We start from the raw sequence: 10,820 nt of genomic DNA, 5'->3' as shown, positions 1-10,820 counted from the left end.
TGTCCTACAACCTTGTTATAATTGCCTATAAGTTCTAGAAGATTTTTGTTGATTCTTTTTGTTGATAAATTCATATATAAACAATTATGTTACATATAAATAAAATGTTTTTATTGATTTATCTTCAGGCTCCATGAGTCTTTCTTCGACCACGTCAAATCTACTTATTAAAGACATTCATTTCTATTACAGAGATTTTATTTCTTGTACTTAATTCTTTTTTGAGTCTACCTCTCTTCTTGTATTACTCATCTGTTCTGGCTTTTGTCTACTTTTTCCATTAGATCCCTTAATATATTAATCATGGTTATTTTAAATTCCTTAACTGTTATTTCACACATTTGTGGCACATCCTATCTGAGTGTGGTTCTGAAGATTACTTAGTCTCTTCATGTTATCTAGTGCAATAGCTATGTGACCAAGGCGAATTTCTAGCCCACCTCAACTCCGGTTATCTTTAGGAAGCAGAATGCCTGAGGTCAAAAGTTCCCTCTTGTTACCAGAATAGCTAAGACTGGTGGAATCCAAGAGGGCTCACTTGATTTCTGTGGAACCTCCAGCTTCATTATAACCTAATTTTCATGCTAAGTGACACTCACACTAGTGCCATGATAGTTGACAATTACCATGACATCAAATAGAAGAAACGATGAAAGGACAAAAAGGGGGGAGGAGCCAAGATGGCCGAATAGGAACAGCTCCGGTCTACAGCTCCCAGTGTGAGCGACGCAGAAGACGGGTGATTTCTGCATTTCCATCTGAGGTACCGGGTGCATCTCACTAGGGAGTGCCAGACAGTGGGCGCAGGCCAGTGGGTGCGTGCACCATGCGCGAGCCGAAGCAGGGCGAGGCATTGCCTCACCTGGGAAGCGCAAGGGGTCAGGGAGTTCCCTTTCCAAGTCAAAGAAAGGGGTGACGGATGCACCTGGAAAATCGGGTCACTCCCACCCGAATATTGCGCTTTTCAAACCAGCTTAAAAAACGGCGCACCACGAGACTATATCCCACACCTGGCTCGGAGGGTCCTATGCCCACGGAATCTCGCTGATTGCTAGCACAGCAGTCTGAGATCAAACTGCAAGCCATCAGCGAGGCTGGGGGAGGGGCGCCCGCCATTGCCCAGGCTTGCTTAGGTAAACAAAGCCCCCGGGAAGCTGGAACTGGGTGGAGCCCACCACAGCTCAAGGAGGCCTGCCTGCCTCTGTAGGCTCCACCTCTGGGGGCAGGGCACAGACAAACAAAAAGACAGCAGTAACCTCTGCAGACTTAAATGTCCCTGTCTGACAGCTTTGAAGAGAGCAGTGGTTCTCCCAGCATGCAGCTGGAGATCTGAGAACAGGCAGACTGCCTCCTCAAGTGGGTCCCTGACCCCTGACCCCTGAGCAGCCTAACTGGGAGGCACCCCCCAGCAGGGACACACTGACACCTCACACGGCAGGGTATTCCAACAGACCTGCAGCTGAGGGTCCTCTCTGTTAGAAGGAAAACTAACAAACAGAAAGGACATCCACACCGAAAACCCATCTGTACATCACCATCATCAAAGACCAACAGTAGATAAAACCACAAAGATGGGGAAAAAACAGAACAGAAAAACTGGAAACTCTAAAACGCAGAGCGTCTCTCCTCCTCCAAAGGAACGCAGTTCCTCACCAGCAACAGAACAAAGCTGGATGGAGAATGACTTTGACGAGCTGAGAGAAGGCTTCAGACGATCAAATTACTCTGAGCTACGGGAGGAAATTCAAACCAAAGGCAAAGAAGTTGAAAACTTTGAAAAAAATTTAGAAGAATGTATAACTAGAATAACCAATACAGAGAAGTGCTTAAAGGAGCTGATGGAGCTGAAAACCAAGGCTCGAGAACTACGTGAAGAATGCAGAAGCCTCAGGAGCCGATGCAATCAACTGGAAGAAAGGGTATCAGCAATGGAAGATGAAATGAATGAAATGAAGTGAGAAGGGAAGTTTAGAGAAAAAAGAATAAAAAGAAATGAGCAAAGCCTCCAAGAAATATGGGACTATGTGAAAAGACCAAATCTACGTCTGATTGGTGTACCTGAAAGTGACGGGGACAATGGAACCAAGTTGGAAAACACTCTGCAGGATATTATCCAGGAGAACTTCCCCAATCTAGCAAGGCAGGCCAACGTTCAGATTCAGGAAATACAGAGAACGCCACAAAGATACTCCTCGAGAAGAGCAACTCCAAGACACATAATTGTCAGATTCACTAAAGTTGAAATGAAGGAAAAAATGTTAAGGGCAGCCAGAGAGAAAGGTCGGGTTACCCTCAAAGGGAAGCCCATCAGACTAACAGCAGATCTCTCGGCAGAAACCCTACAAGCCAGAAGAGAGTGGGGGCCAATATTCAACATTCTTAAAGAAAAGAATTTTCAACCCAGAATTTCATATCCAGCCAAACTAAGCTTCATAAGTGAAGGAGAAATAAAATCCTTTACAGACAAGCAAATGCTGAGAGATTTTGTCACCACCAGGCCTGCCCTAAAAGAGCTCCTGAAGGAAGTGCTAAACATGGAAAGGAACAACCCCTACCAGCCACTGCAAAATCATGCCAAAATGTAAAGACCATCGAGACCAGGAAGAAACTGCATCAACTAACGAGCAAAATCACCAGCTAATATCATAATGACAGGATCAAATTCACACATAACAATATTAACTTTAAATATAAATGGACTAAATTCTCCAATTAAAAGACACACACTGGCAAATTGGATAAAGAGTCAAGATCCATCAGTGTGCTCTATTGAGGAAACCCATCTCACGTGCAGAGACACACATAGGCTCAAAATAAAAGGATGGAGGAAGACCTACCAAGCAAATGGAAAACAAAAAAAGGCAGGGGTTGCAATCCTAGTCTCTGATAAAACAGACTTTAAACCAACAAAGATCAAAAGAGACAAAGAAGGCCATTACATAATGGTAAAGGGATCAATTCAACAAGAAGAGCTAACTATCCTAAATATATATGCACCCAATACGGGAGCACCCAGATTCATAAAGCAAGTCCTGAGTGACCTACAAAGAGACTTAGACTCCCACACATTAATAATGGGAGACTTTAACACCCCACTGTCAACATTAGACAGATCAACGAGACAGAAAGTCAACAAGGATACCCAGGAATTGAACTCAGCTCTGCACCAAGCGGACCTAATAGACATCTACAGAACTCTCCACCCAAAATCAACAGAATATACATTTTTTTCAGCACCACACCACACCTATTCCAAAATTGACCACATAGTTGGAAGTAAAGCTCTCCTCAGCAAATGTAAAAGAACAGATATTATAACAAACTATCTCTCAGACCACAGTGCAATCAAACTAGAACTCAGGATTAAGAATCCCACTCAAAGCCGCTCAACTACATGGAAACTGAACAATCTGCTCTTGAATGACTACTGGGTACATAACGAAATGAAGGCAGAAATAAAGATGTTCTTTGAAACCAATGAGAACAAAGACACAACATACCAGAATCTCTGGGACGCATTCAAAGCAGTGCGTAGAGGGAAATTTATAGCACTAAATGCCCACAAGAGAAAGCAGGAAAGATCCAAAATTGACACCCTAACATCACAATTAAAAGAACTAGAAAAGCAAGAGCAAACACATTCAAAAGCTAGCAGAAAGCAAGAAATAACTAAAATCAGAGCAGAACTGAAGGAAATAGAGACACAAAAAACCCTTCAAAAAATCAATGAATCCAGGAGCTGGTTTTTTGAAAGGATCAACAAAATTGATATACCACTAGCAAGACTAATAAAGAAGAAAAGAGAGAAAAATCAAATAGACGCAATAAAAAATGATAAAGGGGATATCACCACCGATCCCACAGAAATACAAACTACCATCAGAGAATACTACAAACACCTCTATGCAAATAAACTAGAAAATCTAGAAGAAATGGATAAATTCCTTGACACATACACCCTCCCAAGACTAAACCAGGAAGAAGTTGACTCTCTGAATAGACCAATAACAGGCTCTGAAATTGTGGCAATAATCAATAGCTTACCAACAAAAAAGAGTCCAGGACCAGATGGATTCACAGCCGAATTCTACCAGAGGTACAAGGAGGAACTGGTACCATTCCTTCTGAAACTATTCCAATTAATAGAAAAAGAGGGAATCCTCCCTAACTCATTTTATGAGGCCTGCATCATCCTGATACCAAAGCCGAGCAGACACATAACCAAAAAAAGAGAATTTTAGACCAATATCCTTGATGAACATTGATGCAAATATCCTCAATAAAATACTGGCAAACCGAATCCAGCAGCACATCAAAAAGCTTATCCACCATGATCAAGTGGGCTCCATCCCTGGGATGCAAGGCTGGTTCAATATATGCAAATCAATAAATATAATCCAGCATATAAACAGAACCAAAGACAAAAACCACATGATTATCTCAATAGATGCAGAAAAGGCCTTTGACAAAATTCAACAACCTTTCATGCTAAAAACTCTCAATAAATTAGGTATTGATGGGATGTATCTCAAAATAATAAGAGCTGTCTATGACAAACCCACAGCCAACATCATACTGAATGGACAAAAACTGGAAGCATTCCCTTTGAAAACTGGCACAAGACAGGGATGCCCTCTCTCACCACTCCTGTTCAACATTGTGTTGGAAATTCTGGCCAGGGCAATTAGGCAGGAGAAGGAAATAAAGGGTATTCAATTAGGAAAAGAGGAAGTCAAATTGTCCCTGTTGGCAGACGACATGATTGTGTATTTAGAAAACTCCATTGTCTCAGCCCAAAATCTCCTTAAGCTGATAAGCAACTTCAGCAAAGTCTCAGGATACAAAATCAATGTACAAAAATCACAAGCATTCTTATACACCAACAACAGACAAACAGAGAGCCAAATCATGAGTGAACTCCCATTCACAATTGCTTCAAAGAGAATAAAATACCTAGGAATCCAACTTACAAGGGATGTGAAGCACCTCTTCAAGGAGAACTACAAACCACTGCTCAAGGAAATAAAAGAGGATACAAACAAATGGAAAAACATTCCATGCTCATGGGTAGGAAGAATCAATATCGTGAAAATGGCCATACTGCCCAAGGTAATTTATAGATTCAATGCCATCCCCATCAAGCTACTAATGACTTTCTTCACAGAATTGGAAAAAACTACTTTAAAGTTCATATGGAACCAAAAAAGAGCCTGCACTGCCAAGTCAATCCTAAGCCAAAAGAACAAAGCTGGAGGAATCACACTACCTGACTTCAAACTATACTACAAGGCTACAGGAACCAAAACAGCATGGTACTGGTACCAAAACAGAGATATAGATCAATGGAACAGAACAGAGCCCTCAGAAATAATGCCGCATACCTACAACTATCTGATCTTTGACAAACCTGAGAAAAACAAGCAATGGGGAAAGGATTCCCTATTTAATAAATGGTGCTGGGAAAACTGGCTAGCCATATGTAGGAAGCTGAAACTGGATCCCTTCCTTACACCTTATACAAAAATCAATTCAAGATGGATTAAAGATTTAAACGTTAGACCTAAAACCATAAAAACCCTGGAAGAAAACCTAGGCATTACCATTCAGGACTTAGGCATGGGCAAGGACTTCATGTCCAAAACACCAAAAGCAATGGCAACAAAAGACAAAATTGACAGATGGGATCTAATTAAACTAAAGAGCTTCTGCACAGCAAAAGAAACTACCATCAGAGTGAACAGGCAACCTACAAAATGGGAGAAAATTTTCGCAACCTACTCATCTGACAAAGGGCTAATATCCAGAATCTACAATGAACTCAAACAAATTTACAAGAAAAAAACAAACAACCCCATCAAAAAGTGGGCGAAGGACATGAACAGACACTTCTCAAAAGAAGACATTTATGCAGCCAAAAAACACATGAAAAAATGTTCATCATCACTGGCCATCAGAGAAATGCAAATCAAAACCACAATGAGATACCATCTCACACCAGTTAGAATGGCGATCATTAAAAAGTCAGGAAACAACAGGTGCTGGAGAGGATATGGAGAAATAGGAACACTTTTACACTGTTGGTGGGACTGTAAACTAGTTCAACCATTGTGGAAGTCAGTGTGGCGATGCCTCAGGGATCTAGAACTAGAATTACCATTTGACCCAGCCATCCCATTACTGGGTATATACCCAAAGGACTATAAATCATGCTGCTATAAAGACACATGCACACGTATGTTTATTGCGGCATTATTCACAATAGCAAAGACTTGGAACCAACCCAAATGTCCAACAATGATAGACTGGATTAAGACAATGTGGCACATATACACCATGGAATACTATGCAGCCATAAAAAATGATGAGTTCATGTCCTTTGTAGGGACATGGATGAAATTGGAAATCATCATTCTCAGTAAACTATCGCAAGATGAAAAAACCAAACACCGCATATTCTCACCCATAGGTGGGAACTGAACAATGAGATCACATGGACACAGGAAGGGGAATATCACACTCTGGGGACTGTGATGGGGTGGGGGTAGGGGGGAGGGATAGCATTGGGAAATATACCTAATGCTAGATGACGAGTTAGTGGGTGCAGCGCACCAGCATGGCACATGTATACATATGTAACTAACTGGCACAATGTGCACATGTACCCTAAAACTTAAAGTATAATAAAAAAAAAAAGGATGCAGAGGATGTTAAGGTAGCAGATTTGCTAATATAATAAACAAGAGTTAACAGAGAAAAAAAAAAAAAAGAAAGGACAAAAAGGAAAGTGGCAATTCCAGTTCCTATAAGTTCTCCACTTATTCCCTGAAAAGTCGTGAATATTCCTCCCCTTAATTTTAATGCTTAACCTCTTTATTAAAGATGCCCTATATCTTTTACTACCTGGCCCTCATGGGCTGAGAAGTTGATTTGTGAGCCAAATCCCTGCTTCTTAATTCCATGGCCATCTAATAGTGTTTGCACTGCTTGATGCTCACTTTTGGTTTTGCATATTGGCTTCATGGCACTGAAGAGGGAAAGACCCCATTTTTTTTGAGAACCAGCTTTGTCAGCAACATTCAGACTATACACACACACACACACACACACACACACACACACACACACATAATATGCTGCCTTTTGCCTTTGCTATGTCTTGTAATTTCTTGTTGAAAGCTGGACAAGTTGAATAATAGGGACTAAGATAAATCAGCCTTTAAAGTGTGTATTTATGCTAATTAGGCTAGGAGTTGAGCCATATTTAACGTTTGTTATAGCTGCAGGTGCCAGATACCTCAAATTCCTTTAGTGTGCTCATTCTGTCTCACCTCTTCAGCCTTCTCTAAGTACTCCTGAGACAGTCTGTGTTCTGTGGCTCTTGCAACTGTAACCAATTCATTGATAATATACTGAAATTGTTGGTATGGCCTTAAGGTACGAGGGATGGGAAATGTTCTAATATCTTTCAATTAGATCTCAGTCTTTCAGTGGATCTGTGTCTTAAGGTCGTTAACTTCACACATGTTTTTCCTGTTCTATTCTCTTGACCGCCCGCATCCTTCTTTGGCTGAAGAATTACCAATCTCTTTCCTGGAAGCCCTGGACTTCACTGAGTGCTTTGTTTTCACTCTTAGATGAGACAGGAAGTCTAGAGGGCAACAGAGTGGATGTATGGCCTTCTTCCAATAGGCATAAGGTTCTTGCAAAGTTCTTCACCCTGGAGAGTAGGCTTTTGCTATGGAGATGTCTAGGCATGTTTTATGATGGTTATACTTCCTCTTCCTCTGTCAGACCTACAAGAGAGGGGATATTTCTCAGATCTTTACTGTGAGAATTTGGTAAGATTCAATGAGGGAAAGCCAATGAAAAAGTAAGCTTTCCCTAAGACTGCAACCCCCAGAGTTTCTTATTTTCCAATTAGTGCACACTCAGCCTCCAGCAAAAACTAGCATTCACAGGTTCCTATCAGTTTCTGGTTCCAGTGGCTTCTGTTCTAGGTCAGCAATCTCAAGTGTGACTGTCTGAATCCTCCTCTTTGTCTAGGTTTCAAGATGGTTGTTTGCTTGGCTACCTCAGTTCTCCAATAACCTCAAGAAAAGCTACTGATTTTTGGTTTGTTCCAGTTTTTCTTTTAAGTACAAGAGTGATGGCTTTCAAGTTATTTCCATGTCAAGGCTGAAACTGGAAGTCAGAACTTTTATGTTTTACTATGTATAATTCTGTTCAATTATTTTTTCTATAATAAGCATATATTAATGTTGATATAAAATAAGCAAAATAAATATATTGCTCACTTCTGTAGTTTATTGGGTAGAGATCACATTGAAATAAACCTGAAGCACAAAGCTTTTAACAGACTTTACGAAAGGTCCAAGAATGAAAGGTAAATTTAAATAACCTTTTTTGAGGTAATTCTTTGATTCCCTCACAGATGTTTAGACAAGAATCAAACTTCATATGTGTTTATATGCACACATATACAAATACATATATGATACATATATATGAATATGTATTATGTGAATTATGTGTATTATATGAAAATATGTTTGCCTGAAGAGATAGGATAGTATAAGCTTTAGCTTATAGACTTTGGAAGCAATGTCTGGATTCAAATTCAGTACAATCAAGTGTGTCAGCTTAAAGCACTATTTACCCCAAAAATAATAACAAGAAAATGCTTAACGTCTACTATATTGTATGGACTACATTATGGTTTTTACATATTTCAATCCACGCTACCATCCTATGAGAAGTGTATTTTGAAAGCTCTTTTTAAAGCTGAATAAACTGAAGTCTCAGAAAGGATATACCACTTGCCTCAGGCTGTACAGTGAAGAAATGAGAGAGATGGGATTTGATTCCAAAACTGCTGAGTCTCAAATTTAGTCTTTTTTTGTTCTCTGCATCCCATAAATGTCAGGAAGATCAGGCCCAATCACAGTATGTAATCTGGGGAGAAGTTCTAAGGTTCTGGGGTACATGCAGTTGGCTTATTTTAAATTGAACTGTCAGCATTAGGACTGAGCCCATGTTGACTCATCTTGCCCCTGGATGAAATCCTTATACAAAGATAATAGCCAGTTATGCCTCTTTGACAAACTCTTGTAACTGGTCCCTGGATTTCTATTGTCTCTGATCTTCCATAACATATTTATCAATTTTCCTAACATAACTGGCACCTAGTCATTCACTTTGATGTTAGCCTAGTGATGAAGTCAACCTCTCTGGAGTTATCGACTAATTCTGTGACTTATAAGGTATGGAGCTTAAAAAATTATCCAACCCCCACTTTTTCATCACTAATTTAGAGTAATTGTGATACCTACCTCATCAGGTAGTTATGAGAACCCAAATTAAGTAAGTCTTGTAAAGGACTTACTAGCCAAGTGTCTAACACGCCGTTGTTCAATACAGTGTGCCCTAGCCGCATGCACCGACAACAGAGTATTTCGAAGGGAGTTAGTATAAATGGAAATGAACTGTAAGTATAAAATGTACAATGGATTTAGAAGACTCAAAACAAAAAATAGAATACAAAATATCTCATTAATAATTGTTAATGTTGATTACATATGCAAACGGTGATATCGTGGATATAGTAAGCTTACATTTTTAGTCTCTTTTTTCTGTTTACTTTCTTATAAGGTGGCTTCTAGAAAATTTAAAATTATATATGTAGCTTGCATTATGGCAAACATTATACAGTTGACCCTTAACATGGATTGGAGCTGTGTGGGACCACTTATACATGAATTTTCTTCTGCCTCTGCCACCCCTTAGACTCCTCTTCTTCCTCCTCAGCTCACTCAGTGTGAAGACAACAAAGATAAACTTGTCCACTTAATGAATAGTAAATATATTTTATTTTCCTTATGATTGTCTTAATACAATTTTGTTTTCTCTAGCTTACTTTATTGGAAGAATATAATATATAAAATATACAACATATAAAATATGTGTTAATTGACTGTTTATGTTATTGGTAAGGTGTAAGACTTCTATTCCACAATAGTTTAGTAGTAGTTAAGTTTTTGGGGAGTGAAAAGTTATATGTAGATTTTTTATTGTGCTGGGGTCAGCTCCCCTGACCTTTGTTTTGTTCAAGGGTGAACTGTATTTCTATTGAACAGTGGTGCTCTAATACATAACAGACACTCAATAAATAATATTTTCCACTATGATTAAGTTCTGCAGCCAGTGAATTATGATCATTATGCCTCATTTGTTGGCTTAAACTTATTTATTTTAAGGAATATCTTAGTAGCCTAAAGTGTTTAACTCCAAAACTAAAATGATATAGTCTATCCATCAACACATGCTATTGTTCTTATGTAAGCAAAAACTAAACATGTGAAGCAAAAATATGTTCCTCATTTCTTGCTTTCAGTATTCTCCTGAGGTATAACAGACCGTATTAATGACATTAGAAGACCTTGATTCATGTTGATTGATATTATGGAAATAACTGTTTGACACTTAAAGCATGACATCTGAATTCTGTCTTAATTTCATTTCTACAAAATAGAATGATTATTGGGGCCTGAACTCTTCAATATGCATCCACATCAGCAATGTATGATCTCTGCCCAAAGTAATAAAATGTACTAATGAAACATGATAGGTGTAATTGGTAAATTATGAAGCAGTTTATAACATTTATGTTTACAACACTGTTTTGGAAGAATTCCACCCACATCAATGTGCTAAGAAAATAATAATTAGCTTCAGAGGTTTATTGAAAAACTGTTATTTATGAAACATCATAAGAAATGATTCACCATTTTCCATGGTGCTAATTTTGCAAATACCTGGAAAAC

At 39.0% G+C, this 10,820-nt stretch overlaps 1 annotated feature.

Moving 5' to 3' along the window:
- Positions 944 to 1,585: an enhancer, noted in NCBI's record as "H3K27ac-H3K4me1 hESC enhancer chr8:60787467-60788108 (GRCh37/hg19 assembly coordinates)". NCBI's record gives its function as "activates a minimal SCP1, AML or CMV promoter by ChIP-STARR-seq in naive H9 embryonic stem cells {active_cell/tissue: H9 hESC(naive)}" and the evidence as "EXISTENCE:reporter gene assay evidence [ECO:0000049][PMID:30033119]".

Source organism: Homo sapiens, chromosome 8, assembly GCF_000001405.40.
Source record: "Homo sapiens chromosome 8, GRCh38.p14 Primary Assembly".
In the NCBI taxonomy this organism is placed as follows: domain Eukaryota; kingdom Metazoa; phylum Chordata; class Mammalia; order Primates; family Hominidae; genus Homo; species Homo sapiens.
Note: the sequence above shows the minus strand (reverse complement) of the source record. Positions and strands in the feature narration are given on the sequence as shown.